General features: G+C 44.2%; 1 annotated feature.

The window, feature by feature from the left end:
• Positions 4,165–5,048: an enhancer, noted in NCBI's record as "NANOG-H3K27ac hESC enhancer chr2:204464991-204465874 (GRCh37/hg19 assembly coordinates)". NCBI's record gives its function as "activates a minimal SCP1, AML or CMV promoter by ChIP-STARR-seq in naive H9 embryonic stem cells {active_cell/tissue: H9 hESC(naive)}" and the evidence as "EXISTENCE:reporter gene assay evidence [ECO:0000049][PMID:30033119]".

Raw genomic sequence — 15,101 nt, forward strand, 5'->3', positions numbered from 1 at the left:
AATGACTCATTGATATGTTTTTGTCAATCTTAATTCTGTTTACTTACTGGTCATAGTACATTGGTGTTGATTTCTCTTATACTTCAGCCATGTCTCTTAATACCAGTTACACTGAGAGACAAAGAACAAGAGAATAATTACGAAAAATCAGACTTTGGGAACTGAGCTGTCTGGGTTGAGGTCACCTCAAAAGCTCACGAAGTCTGATGTTTGTGCAGCCTCAAGTATATTTTTTACTGTGTGTCTGAAGCTCATGACACGATCAAGGTTAGTAACTATGGAGACTGGTGTGATTTATTTACCACTGAGGAGGTTTAGCACTGACAGAATCAGAACAGGCTTCCTCATGCAAACGGAGTGCCTGCCTATCCTTATTAAGGGGATCTGGGGAAAAAAAGATGAATTAATGCAAACGATGAATTAATGCAATTAAATGAGGTCACATGAAAGTAAAAAGGAGAAAGAAAGGGCTTGAAAAAGCATGGGAACTCCTTTTTTTTTTTTTTTTTTTTTTTTGTGAGATGGAGTCTCGCTCTGTCGTCCAGGCTAGAGTGCAGTGGTGCGATCTCAGCTCACTGCAAGCTCTGCCTCCCGGGTTCACGCCATTCTCCTGCCTCAGCCTCCCGAGTAGCTGGGACTACATGCGCCCGCCACCACGCCCAGCTAATTTTTGATATTTTTAGTAGAGACGAGGTTTCACCATGTTAGCCAGGATGGTCTTGATCTCCTGACCTTGTGATCCGCCCGCCTCGGCCTCCCAAAGTGCTGGGATTACAGGCATGAGCCACCGCGCCCGGCCATCCTGTTCCTTCTCATCCCTGTGTCTCTGCTTATACAGTTTTCTCTTTTCAGAATGCACTCCTTATCCAGGGTAGTGACCTTCTAGCTCACCCCACCGGTCCAAACCCCACCTCTTACACAAAGTCTTCCTGATAAAACTAACCAACATTTATGTCTCCCTTTTTGGACTGTGTCAGGCAGCTTCTGTACCATGCCTATTTGCAGTGGATTACATTCATAAAATGGGCTGAACATTGTGATTATTTTTCCCAGGGTTGTCCCCCATGGATATGCATTTTTTGTTCTGCCCAAGGGCACCTGGCCAAAGAGTTGAGTGGGAGCGGAGACCCAGCCCATGCTCCTTTCTCCATGCCAGTAGCATCCCTAGTGCCTTTCTGAATTCTCAGGAAACATCAGTGGATGAGTGCTGGCCCTGGCTGTCCCTGAGTATTACCCTTGTGTTCACCATGTCTCCCCAATGGGTTTGTATACCCCTTGAGAGCAGGGGCTCTGTCACAACTTCTGCATTCCCCATGTGGCCTAGCCTTAGGTAAATGTTCCTTCGCTTGACTTGAACACAGACAAGGAATAGAAGGAGGTCTTTTTTTCTGGAAGTGAAGCACAGAGAAGGTGGTCTATAAAGGAGAGAGAAGGAAAAAGGCCTGGGGAAAGAAAGTGGAAGCAAAGGGGTTTGAAAATGCAGAGACTGGGCTGGACACAGTGGCTCATGCCTGTAATCCCAGCACTTTGGGAGGCCGAGGCGGTGGGGATCACGAGGTCAGGAGTTCAGGACCAGCCTGGCCAAAATGGTGAAACCCCATTTCTACTAAAAATACAAAAATTAGCCGGGCCTGCTGGCAGATGCCTGTAATCCCAGCTACTTGGGAGGCTGAGGCAGAGAATTGCTTGAATCTGGGAGGCGGAGGTTGCAGTGAGCTGGAATCATGCCACCGCACTCCAGCCTGGGCAACAGAGTGAGACTCCGTCGCAGAAAAAAAAAAAAAAGAAAGAAAATGCTGAGACCATGTATTAGTCCTGCTTTTTTTCTTGAGCTCCAAGAGCAGATTGATTTTCTTTGGCATGTCTGGCTCCTAATCTTTCATTCTATCCAAGGGCTATTGGGCACCAGAAAGAAGTTCTCAATGGTAAGGTGCTGGGCGTATGGGGGCAATGTCAGCATGTCTGGGTCCTGCTGGTTGCCGGAGCTGGGCTGGGGGTCTGAGTGTTTAGGACAAGGCCCAGCATGGGTTTGGAATCACAGAAGATCAGCAATAGTGATTGATCTTCAGGAGATGACCTGACGTATCTCACTGGATCCCATGGGAAAAAATCCCAAGAAAACCCTTCTTCTCCCAAACAACATTTCTCTTCCCTTTTCAAAATGAAGTTACCTTCAAGCACAGTCGTGTCTTTTGCAAATCATGTTTTCTGGTGGGGCTTACCTCAGAGTCCTATGTCAGAGCCGGGCGGGCCTAGCTGACCACCTTCGCATTGAATTTCTCTTTTTTCAGAGTCAATGTCAATTATGCATATGACTTAAGAAGAAATCACTGGACCGTTTCATTGTTTCCTCTCTGAAACTTCCCTTACCTCAAACCCCAAACCAAAAATACCAAAACCTCACCGCTCTTGAGCAAGCCACCAGAGGAGTGAGAACATGTCTGAGGAGTGGCTGTGAGCGGCCAAAGACCAGTTGCAGACAGAAGAAAATAAGAAATACATCAAAACGATGGAAATCTGACCGGGCACGGTGGCTCATGCCTGTAATCCCAGCACTTTGGGAGGCCGAGATGAGAGGATCGCTTGAGTCCAGGAGCTCGAGACCAGCCTGGCCAACATAGGGAGCTTGTGCCTCTATAAAAAATAAACAAAATTAGCCAGGTGTCGTGGCGCATGACTGTAGTCCTAGCTACCTGGGAGGCTGAGGTGGAATGATCACTTGACCCCAGGAGGTTGTGGCTGCAGCAAAAAAAACATCTCTTAAATTTTCATACTTTCTGGAGGCAGGGTCTTGCTCTGTTGCCCATGCCACTGCCACTGCCACTGCCACTCCAGCCTGGGCAACAGAGCGAGAACCTGTCTCAAAAAAAAAAAAAAAAAAAAAAGCAAGCATGACAATTTAAGAGTTGCTTTTTGTTTTGTCAGTAAGAAAACTGGATTCATTTACTATAGGCAAAACTTATTAGGTGGGATGGGTTTTGGATGATCAGAGGAAGTTGAAAATGTTGCCAATAGAACAGTTCTAAGGGATGATTAAGTCTCCCTCTTTGACATGAGCACAGACCTCATTAGCTAATGTCTTTCACATCTGGGTAGAAGTAGCACAAGTAAAATCATGGTGTGGCCAGGTGTGGTGGCTCATGCCTGAAATCCCAGCACTTTGGGAGGCCGAGGTGGGTGGTTCATGAGGTCAGGAGATCGAGACCATCCTGGCTAACAAGGTGAAACCCCCGTCTCTACTAAAAATACAGAAACTAGCTGTGCGTGGTGGAGGGCACCTGTAGTCCCAGCTACTCGGGAGGCTGAGGCAGGAGAATGTGTGAACCCGGGAGGCGGAGCTTGCAGTGAGCCAAGATTGCGCCACTGCACTCCAGCCTGGGCAACAGAGAGAGACTCCGTCTCAAAAAAAAAAAAAAATCATGGTGTGATGCAGCATAAACAGATGGGATTTTTACTGAACAGTGAAACAAAAAAGCACATCATGAAAACTCTGTCTCCTGAAATAGATGCTTTTTGTTTAAATACACCCTGATACCCATAAACAACAAAAATGAAGCTCCCTTGAAGTAGATGCTGCAAAACTGTTTCATGTCTACTCAAACCAAAACTTCTGGTTTGTGGTATGGAATGGCAAAAAGGTTCTTTAAACGTAGTAGCTTTCTTCTTTGTAAACCTGGACTAAGTAGACCTCTGGGACCTGGGACAAGTCACTCGATGTACCTAAACTTCAGTTAACTCATCTGCAACATGGGGTTTAACGATGCCATATGGGTTACCATGATCATCAAATGACATAGTCCACGTAAAATAGATGTTTAGTGCAATGCCTGGAGCCTAGGTCTCAATAAATGTTTGCTATCCTTATGGTTTAGCCCAGTGGCTAACCATCTAGATTCCAGTGCCAGCATGTCTGTCTTTGGATCCTGCCTTTACTATTAATACTTACTGGCTGTGCAATTTTCAGCCAGTTACTTCTCTGTTCATCCATTTTCTCAACTTTTAAATGAGGAGAAGACTACCAAATACTTGTATGGTTATTGTGAGGATTAAAGGAAATAAGCCTTTAGAGCACTGCTAGGCACACAGTGAGCACATACTAAGTGTTAATTATTTTTATTATTCTGCAAACAGAACTTTGCTGTTGATAAGATGCTTCTCCTGCCTGCTCTGCATTCTCTACCCCAAATCTTGGAATTCTTAGACTGTATAGCTCATCCTTTCTTTTTACATTTGAGCTACTAGAAATGCCTCAATTCACAAACTCTGTGGGATACCATTCCCTCTGTCCTGGGACCACATTCAGTAGTGTGAAAGTGGAGGAACCAGGGACACTTACGTATGCAAGAGCCCTGATGTTAGCTCCTGTTGGTCTTCCTCCACCTCGCCCCTTCCCCAGCTTAGCCCTGGGGGCTCAAATATCATCCTAAGGATCTTGGGGGCTGTAGAATTGAATGAGAACCCTGACGAATACAACATCCTTTTTAAAATCTCCACTCAGAAGAGGAATTTTACAGTAGACATTTAAGTCTTTGTGTAAATTTTAAATCAATGTGTCACAGCTGGGCGCGGTGGTTCACGCCTGTAGTCCCAGCACTTGCTGGGAGGCCGAGGCAGGCGGATCATTTGAGGTCAGGAGTTTGAGACCAGCTTGGCCAACATGGTGAAACCCCGTCTCTACTAAAATTGCAAAAAATTAGCCAGGCATGATGGTACATGCCTGTAATCCTAGCTACTCGGGAGGCTGAGGCAGGAGAATAGCTTGACCCTGGGAGGCGGGGGTTGCAGTGAGCCGAGATCGTGTCACTGTACTCCAGCCTGGGTGATAGAGCAAGACTCCATCTCAAAAAAAAAAAAATAAAAATAAATAAATCAATATGTCACAATTCCAGAGAAATAGTCTCATTTTAAGATCCTTTGCTGATTCTAAAATAAAAGTCTTTATTTCATTGAAGAGATTTAAGGCATTAGGCAGTAGGTGGGGGGAGGATTTTGGAAATTCTCCTCCTAAAATAACATAATTCTCACTCTAAGTCTGGTCTTGCTAATAATAGCAACCACAATATAATGATTTTTAATAACAGTGACTACAATGACCATTGAAGTGACATGTGATAGGTACAAGTGGGCTATGCCCTTTATATAAATCTTTTTTTTTTTTTTTTTTTGGAGACGGAGTTTTGCTCTTGTTGCCCATGCTGGAGTGCAATGGCACAATCTCGACTCATTGCAACCTCCACCTTCCAGGTTCAAGCGATTCTCCTGCCTCAGCTTCCTGAGTAGCTGGGATTGCAGGCATGCACCACCACGCTCGGCTGATTTTGTATTTTTAGTAGAGACAGGGTTTCTCCATGTTGGTCAGGCTGGTCTTGAACTCCCGACCTCAAGTGATCCGCCCGCCTCAGCCTCCCAAAGTGTTGGGATTATAGGCGAGAGCCACCAGGCCTGGCCTATGTAAATTGTTTTATTCAATCCTCACTGCAACCCTTGTAGGATGGTATTATTATATTATCCATTTATAAATAAAGACATTGAGGCTCAGAGAGGTTAAATGATTGCTTAGGAGCATACAGATAGTAGTCGTTAAAGAGTTGGGATTTGAACCTAGGGCTGTGTGTCTTCAGAGACTGGGTGTGGACTCATCCTCCATGCCATACTGGAGAAAACTAAGCTTTGGGGGAACCTTTGTGAGACAGACCAGAGGTCCTCTTTACCTTTCTTTCTGTAGGTTTTCCTGCCCTTCTTGCACAGATGGCCGTAAACACATGATTAGCTGGCAGAGGCTGCCTTGACTGAGTCTCCATTTCACAGAAGCGGCAATAGAGTGATTCTGTTTCTGGCGTCTCAGTGCAGGCACTGCTGAGTCGTGTGCTTGCCAGAGCCTTAGCTTAGCTGGATTCTGATCTGTTAACTCTGTACCTTGTTGCAGTGGTGTGATGGTCTCAGGCTCCTTTTCTACCTACATGTGAGATTTTATACTAAGTGAACTTCTTTTTTTTTTTTTTTAAGATGGAGTTTTGCTGTTTTTGCCCAGGTGGAGTGCGATGGCGCAATCTCTGCTCACTGCAACCTCCACCTCCTGGGTTCAAGCAATTCTCCTGCCTCAGCCTCCTGAGTAGCTGGGATTACAGGCATGCGCCACCACGCCCAGCTAATTTTGTATTTTTAGTAGAGACAGGGTTTCACCATGTTGGCCAGGCTGGTCTTGAACTCTTGACCTCAGGTCATCCACCCATCTTGGCCTCCCAAAGTTTTGGGATTATAGGCGTGAGCCACCGCACCTGGCCGTAAGTGAACTTCTGAGGAAAATTATACCAAAACTTGTTTTTTGCGCATGCTCAACTAGACAACCTGAAAATGGAGTTAAAACATTTCACAGTCCCAGAGATTTCATAGGTTATCAGTTCTTCCTGTTTCAGGTCAAACCCCCAAATACTCAAAATACCTCCAAAATAATTATTCTTACTCTCTTGAAAGGAATCAATGTTTATAAAATACAGGAGAGAGCCTGAAGACTGTGCTTTGTCTCTGTCTAATGTGATGTTCTCTGTGGGTTCTGTTAAAAGGTACAAGAGAAGGTCTATGTGTAATGCATATTCAATTCTGCTATAGAAGAAAGCAAATGGGAGGGATAAAGCATACAAGAAATACCGAGCACACATAGAAATCAAGCTAGCAGCTTATGAGATATTGGTAAAACTCCCAGGATGTTAAGTTTAGATAATGAGTAAGGAAATTCTGCCTGCCTTGCGTGGCAGGCAGAATTCATAAGATGTGTTAAATATAGACAGTAAGTTAGTAATCTGTAAAACATATTAAAGAAAGATGGAATAAAGCAATATATGATGGGAAAAGAAAGAATGTTACTTATAAGTAGAAAGGGATGAAAAGATTAAGTCCTAATCATGCCCCTCTGGTCTGACAGCTACATCATTCCTAAATTGCCCATCCAATGGTGATACCCATTCTGATCCCACATGTTTGTGCCCAAGAAATGCACATAAAACCCAGAGGTGCTCAGCAGGCTAATTGGGAAGCTATAGCTGTGGTCAAGCCTACTTGCCCCTGGACCCCTTTGATAGAGCAAGTGTGTCACTGGCCCAGGGCACCTTCTCTCTGGGAACCCCTTGCTGCAACCTCATCACTTTATTTCTGGCCCTCATAACCACACGTCAGTAGGGGAGGCTGATGTGGCAGAGAGAGATAGGAGACACATGCACTGACCCTGCCAAGACTCAGGTAGTGGGGTCTTTCCACCCGTTGCATCCTATCCTAAGTGTGTTCACTTACCTGTCTCTTTCACGTTGCTTTTTGTGGTGTCTTTTATATTGATTTACGAAATCATGCAATTCGAGCATATTTAGTTTTGAGGCTTTGAGCCTTTCCACCAAGGTAGGTTCCTACACGACATCCATATTAATTTCCATTTGAATCTTTTCACTAGTATCATCTATTTCCTTGGATAACACATCAGCAGTAGATACTTTCACTTCATCAGAGGACCTGGGAAAGAGCCGTGCCAACAGAGTTTGGAATGGAGGCAAAACTAATTTTGGAGAGCTCCAATGTGTGTTGAAAAAGAAAGCAATCAAATAATTGTGTTGTATCACATCCTGAATATGGTCTCAGGCCTTCTGCCAGGTAGTCAGAGAACATTTTTTATGAATTTGATTTTTTTTTTCCGCTAGGAAAATTACCAAACCTCAGATTCAACCAGAATAGCACAAGAGGAATAGCATGGGCTCCCTGTCATTCGTTCACAGTACATTCGGGAGGGAGAAGAACAATGGTTTGTAAAATAGGTCCATACATAATGCATGATGTCAATAACACTGGGTAGCTTAGTGGCTCACATTGAGTGACCTTCTCAATATATTATTTATGCCTTTCATGTTTTTTTCTAGTATAACATCTTTTTTCCCTCTGGTCAAGTATTCTATTGCTCATTTATTGTGTTTTAACCACAAATGTCTTGCCACTATCAGTCACATGGCTCTAAATGAAATATAGATTATAAAAGGAAACACTTCCCACACATTAAAAAAATGATTTCCAGCTGGTCTTAAAAGTGTCTGCAGTTCCCTCTGGACGTAAGCATTTATCTGCTAATGCTTATCACTTGGGACTTTCCCTGCTGTTTCAAAAGTGGGAACGTGGAGATTAAAGCCAGTGTTTTAGGAGATTAGTACAGTTGTGTGCCGCGTAATAACATTTTGGTCAAGGATGGACTGCATGTATTACGGTGGTCCCATAAGATTACAATACTGTAGTTTTACTGTACCTTTTCTGTGTTTAGATACGTTTAGATGGGCAAATACTTACCATTGTGTTACAATGGCCTACAGTATACAGAACAGTAACGTTTTACACAGGTTTCTAGCCTAGAAGCAATAGCTAGACCCTGTAGTTTAGGTGTGTAGTAGGCTACACCATCTAGGTTTGTGTAAGTACATTCTATGATGTTCACACAACGACAACATCTCCTAATGACAATTTCTCAGAATGTTTCCCCATCGTTAAAAAATGCATGATTGTATTGAGAAACATAAAATTGGATACAATAAATATCACACTTCTATAAGAAGGTTTTAAGCACTATACAGTGAAATTATGTCTCTCCTCCAGAAAACAAACAAATCTGGCCGGGCGCGGTGGCTCACACCTGTAATCCCAGCACTTTGGGAGGCCAAGGCGGGCAGATCACGAGGTCAGGAGATGGAGACCATCCTGGCTAACACGGTGCAACCCCGTCTCTACTAAAAATACAAAAAAAAAAAAAAATTAGCCCGGCGTGGTGGCAGGCACCTAGTAGTCCCAGCTACTCGGTAGGCTGAGGCAGGAGAATGGCGTGAACCCGGGAGGCGGAGCTTGCAGTGAGCCGAGGTCGCGCCACTGCACTCCAGCCTGGGTGGCAGAGCGAGACTCTGTCTCAAAAAAAAAAAAAAGAAGAAAAACTTAAAAAATACAACCTTTTTAATGTGTCAGGAAATACAGAGCTTGGTCTGTCTGTGATCAGGAGGAATGAAGTTGTGTATTCAGAATGATAAAGTATAGGTGTGTGTGATGAAGTCCCAAGTGATCTGTAAATTCCTGCAGAGGACCTCACATTGCTGGGTGAAATCTTTGTGGGAAATTGGTAAAAAGAAAAAGACCCAGCAGGTACCCTAGAAACTCTAGACCTAATACAGATTCCCTTCTTTATTGGTGGCTCTGAAAATTTTTCACACTGCTGCAGGTACTTTGGCCTTGGAGACATCTTACTGGGGACTTAACAATGAGAAAGACTTAGGGATTCATCACTTCCAGGCAACTGTAAGGAAAAGGGAGATCCCCGTGCCTGAACTTATAGGGTTGGATAATCATTTTCCTTCCTGTTACACAACTTGGTTTTCCTGGCTGTGGTGCTAGGTTTATAGCAGTTACAGGGTTTATTTAAGGCAATCCAACTTTGGACTTCAATAAGATAAATAGTGATATCTAAAAGAGACATAGTGAAGAAATCACACTCAACATGACAAAGCATTGAGATAAAAAGTAATAAAGTCCAGAAAAACTCTTCAAACAGTAATTTTGCTTCTAAAAATCCTTTGACTTTGATGTGTCCATCAATCATAGGCCTATTTTTGCTTCATTTCATCTGTCTTTGGCTAAAATGGGTGGGATGAGGCTTTTTGGATAGCAGTAGTTGGTTTCTCCTATTTTCTCTTAATGGACAAAGAAGCAAGATTTATGTCTGGAAGACTTGCTGAAAAGAACGAAGTGACCTCCCAGAGCCACCTAGTACCTTAGCAATAATCTCCCAGCTGAAATCATTGTTGCCTTGATGAGCTACAAATCAGGGTGGCATTTCCCAAACAGGATTCCCCCAAACTCAAGTTGCTTAAACTGCTAATATTTTCATTCTGTTCTGTTTTGTTTTAGCCATTGTGTATGGTCAAAAAAAAAAAAGATATGAAAAGTCCTGGGTTAAACAAATTTCAAGGGGTTTTTTTTTTTTTTGCAGGATATTTCAAAATATTTAATGTTCTAATGTGCATTGCATGTCTTGGAATTAAAGGTGTGCCGAAAACAGTTTGTGAAACATTGAACATTGGAGAGAACCTGTGGGGAAGTGGCCCATGCTTGGGACATCAGTTGACTTCTTTTTTGTTTGTTTTGAGATGGAGTTTCACTCTTGTCACCCAGGCTGGAGTGCAATGCATGATTTTGGCTCACTGCAACCTCCACCTCCTGGGTTCAAGTGATTCTTCCGCCCCAGCCTCCTGAGTAGCTGTGATTACAGGGACCCACCACCGTGCCTGGCTAATTTTTTGTATTTTTAGTAGAGACAGGATTTCTCCATGTTGGTCAGGCTGGTCTTGAACTCCTGACCTTAGGCGATCACTCGCCTCAGCCTCCCAAAGCAGTTGACTTCTTGGCTGCCAATGGTTAAGCAATGCCACTGGACAGCCCCCTGTGTGACTGAGGGATAGGGATGAAAAAGGCAGGAAAAAAAGGAAGACAAAGCTGAAAAATACAGAGGAATACGTAGAAGAAAATAAAAATTCCTGCTTCATACCACCCCAAAATAACCATTTTAAACCTGCAATATGTTTCCTTCTAGTCATCTTACTGTGTGTGTGTATGATTATGCTCATCATATAAATTACCCTTTTTGTTTTTTGAGATGCAGTCTCGCTCTGTCACCCAAGCTGGAGTACAATGGCGCAGCTCACTGCAACCTCCGTCTCCCCGGGTTCAAACGATTCTCCTGCCTCAGCCTCCCTAATAGCTGGGACTACAGGCGCCCGCCACCACGCCCAGCTAATTTTTGTATTTTCAGTAGAGACGGGGTTTCACCACATTGGCCAGAATGGTCTCCATCTCTTGACCTCATTATCCTCCCACCTCGGCCTCCCAAAGTGCTGGGATTACAGGCATGAGCCACTGCGCCCGGCCAACTATACATTTTTATATGATAATCATACTATGTATAATTTGACATTTTGTATTTTAAGTTTAATACTTTATATGTATGTACTTGAAAGCATAAACTAAATATAGTACTTCCATATCATTATTTTCCTATTAATTGATAATTAGGTTATTCCCAACTTTAGTATAAAAATAAAGGACACATAAATGGCACACTGAAGAAATCAGGTTCATAGGAAATAAACAAAAGGCAGCCATATTTTTGTCTTTCAAAATTTTGACTTTAACAATGTATCCAGGGAAGGAAAGTATTTCCCTTAACCCTGAAAACTTGGGCAGTCCCATGAATTTCTGAATTACAAAGTTACTTTAAGCTTCATTATCTCCACTCAGAAATTAAAACGTCTAGTCCAAAATAAGAAGTCACATTTTAATCTTCATTTAAAGGTATGGCTCTTCCCATCCCCAGGTAGGCCAGTGGCAGGTTGTGTGTGGTCAGCTTCTTCTTGTTTCCCTCTTCCCCTACTCAATAGCTACTGTTGCTGACCTGGGGCTGGGCAGGGAGAGGGATGAGAGGTAAGGGGATGAGACGGAGAATTCCTACGTGGTTGTCTCATAAGCTGCGGCAGTCTGCAGCTGCCTCCCTGTCAGGGGTGCGCTCCCTTGATGGCAGCATTGATACAGTCTCCTTGGGCTGGCCGTTGTCCTGGGGGACCCTTGCTTTCCTGCAGTCCACTCCGTACAGACTTTCTCAGCTGGGTTCTATCGTTGTCACCCACGTGGTCTTGGGTAGGGTCCCTTTTTAAAATTATTTTATTTTATTTTATTTTTCCAGACGGAGTCTCACTCTGTCACCCAGGCTGGAGTGCAGTGGCACCATCTCTGCTCACTGCAAGCTCTGTCTCCTGGATTCACGCGATTCTCCTGCCTCAGCCTCTCCAGTTGCTAGGACTATAAGTGCACGCCACCATGCCCGGCTATTTTTTGTATTTTTAGTAGAGACAGGGTTTTGCCATGTTGGCCAGGCTGGTCTCGAACTCCTCACCTCAAGTGATTCACCCGCCTTGGCCTTCCAAATTGCTGAGATTACAGGTGTGAGCTACCACACCCGGCCAGGTCCCTTTGAATAAGACCCCAGGCAGAGCGTTCTCCTAGGGAGTCTGCCTCTGATTCCTGGGATGCACACAACTTCCATCCACTGTACCACTGCTCAGACAAAGCCCTCTCTCCTGCTGCCAGTTACCACTGCTTTCTCAGATGTGAGTGGTACCAATGCCTGTGACCTTCAACGGCAAGGGGCACATATGAGACTTTCTGAATGGTCCCTTTAAATCCTCCTCTTGGGTCTTGAAGTGAAGGGGGAAGCACTCCTCCCCATTTTGGTGGGGAAGTGGGACACAGCACAATCTCTTTCTGAGAAGTCCTCTTCAAAAACCCGTTTTTCTCCTCTCTCTCAGCTCTTTTACATCTTTTTTAAAAATCTAATTTAATTTAATTTTAATTTCTGGGATACATGTACGGGACATGCAGTTTTGTTACATACGCAAACGTGTGCCATGGTGGTTTGCTGCGCCTATCAATCTATCACCTAAGTTTTAAGCACCACATGCATTAGCTATTTATCCTGATGCCCCCCTCCCCTCCATACTCCCTCTGCACCTTGACAGGCCCAAGTGTGTGCCTTTTATATCTTCAATGTGAGTCAGGAATTTAAAAGAGTTAAAGCACCAATTTTCAGCTGAGTCCTGTAAAAATTTTGCATTTGACTTATACCTCCTTTGGAATGCAGCAACGATTCTATCTTTGTGCCTCAGTTGAAGTTTCAGTTTTAATTCATGTTACAAAAATATTTGTATGTAAATCTTTGAATTTCTTTCAGGAGGGTAGTTTACCAAACCAGGATGGTTTGCCAGAAGGGAAATCATTGGCTCAAAGGATTTGGAAAGAGTGTTTTCATTCTAAACTCATGGTTGTTTTTCTCACCTAGAGACTTACGGGGAAAGGCTGGGCCAATTGGGAATGAAACAGGTTGTAATGCAGAAGCTAGACCATGTGTTAAGTGGTGCTAGGGTAGGTATCGGAATTTTTCCACGTACCTATAATTTGCTTACTTGTTTAGTGCCAATAGTTTGAGATTCTTCACATTTTGTGAAGTTATACTACTAAGCGGCCGGGTGCAATGGCTCTCACCTGTAAACCCAGCAGTTTGGGAGGCTGAGGCAAGTGGATCACCTAAGGTCAGGAGTTCGAGACCAGCCTGACCAACATGGTGAAACCCCATCTCTACTAAAAATACAAAAATTAGCTGGTGTGGTTGCAGGCACCTGTAATCCCAGCTACTCAGGAGGCTGAGGCAGGAGAATTGCTTGAACTGGGGAGGCGGAGGTTGCAGTGAGCTGAGATCAAGCCATTGCACTCCAGCCTGGGCAACAGAGTGAGACTCTGTCTCAAAAAAACAAAACAAAACAAACAAACAAAAAACCTAACCAATTCCCAGTGCAGGAATACTTACAAAGGGACCAGGCCTGTGTTTGTAATGGAAATAGGAGAATCTTAGATGTCATTGATTAATGGAGATTTTAACAAGAATAGCTAATATTTGATAACGCTGAGCATGAACCAGGCTGTCATAGCTACATTAGCACATATTAATTCATGTGAAACTCATATCAGGCCTGACGCCGTGGCTCACGTCTGTAATCCCAGCACTTTGGGAGGCCAAGGTGGGCGGGTCACGAGGTCAAGAGATGGAGATCATCCTGCCCAACATGGTGAAACCCCGTCTCTACTAAAAATACAAAAATTAGCTGGGCGTGGTGGCAGACGCCTGTAGTCCCAGCTACTCGGGAGGCTGAAGCAGGAGAATCGCTTGAACCAGGGAGGTGGAGGTTGCAGTAAGCCAAGATCACACCACTGCACTCCAGCCTGGTGACAGAGACTCTGTCTCAAAAACAAACAAAACAAACAAACAAACAAACAAAAACTCGCATGAACTCCATGAAGAGGCATTATTATTTTTATTTATTTATTTACTGTTTTTGAGATGGAGTCTCTGTCTACCGGGCTGGAGTGCAGTGGCACAATCTCGCTGTATCTCCCAGGCTGGAATGCAGTGGCGCGATCTTGGTTCACTGCAACCTCCGCCCCCACCCCCGGGTTCAAGCGATTCTCCTGCCTCAGCCTCCCAAATAACTGGATTATACACGCCTGCCACCGCGCCCGCCTACTTTTTTTGTATTTTTAGTAGAGGCGGGTTTCACCATCTTGGCCAGGCTGGTCTTGAACTCCTGACCTCATGATCCACCCGCCTCAGCCTCCCAAAGTGTTGGGATTACAGGCATGAGCCACCGCGCCTAGCGGAGGCATTATTATTCCCATTTTACAGATGAGGAGGCTGAGGTATGGTGAAGTTAAGGGATTAACTCGTCTAATAAGTGGCACAGCTGAAAGCTGAACCCAAGCAGTTATCTTTGAATTTCTGCTGCATAATATGTGTCTAACCATTGCTGGTTAAACAAGATGTGTTAAACCAGATACTGTTTGTTGGAATTGTCCTCAGAGGTTTTGTTACCTTCCCACAAAGGAGACTGAAAGCATTTTCAGAAATTAACCTGATTTCCAGGACTGAGTGTGCAAAAGAGGATTTTAATTTAGTTGAATGGGTACCAGCTCCCTCCACTGGCATTTGTTTTTCTTCCCTTGATGGGGAAGTGGGACCCACAGCCCAGTTGTGCATGGTGCATAACAGATGCTTAGTAAAATGTCATTGTATGACTGAGCGAATGGTAGAGTCCACATAGCTAAGGACTCAAATGTCTGCTTTCTGTATTTCTGTTTTCTATGTCATTATTATCTTTACTTATCATAGCGACATTAAAAGGTAGATATCGTCGGGCGCGGTGACTCACGCCTGTAATCCCAGCACTGTGGGAGGCTGAGGCGGGTGGATCACAAGGTCAGGAGTTCAAGACCAACCTAGCTAAGATGGTGAAACCCTGTCCCTACTAAAAATACAAAAATTAGCCCAGCGTGGTGGCAGGTGCCTGTAATCCCAGCTACTCGGGAGGCTGAGGCAGGAGATCACTTGAACTCGGGGGGTGGAGTGTGCAGTGAGCCGAGCGTGTGCCACTGCACTCCAGCCTGGGCGAGGTGACAGAGTAAGACTCTGTCTCAAAAAAAAAAAAAAAAAA

This window comes from Homo sapiens, chromosome 2 (assembly GCF_000001405.40).
Source record: "Homo sapiens chromosome 2, GRCh38.p14 Primary Assembly".
NCBI lineage: Eukaryota > Metazoa > Chordata > Mammalia > Primates > Hominidae > Homo > Homo sapiens.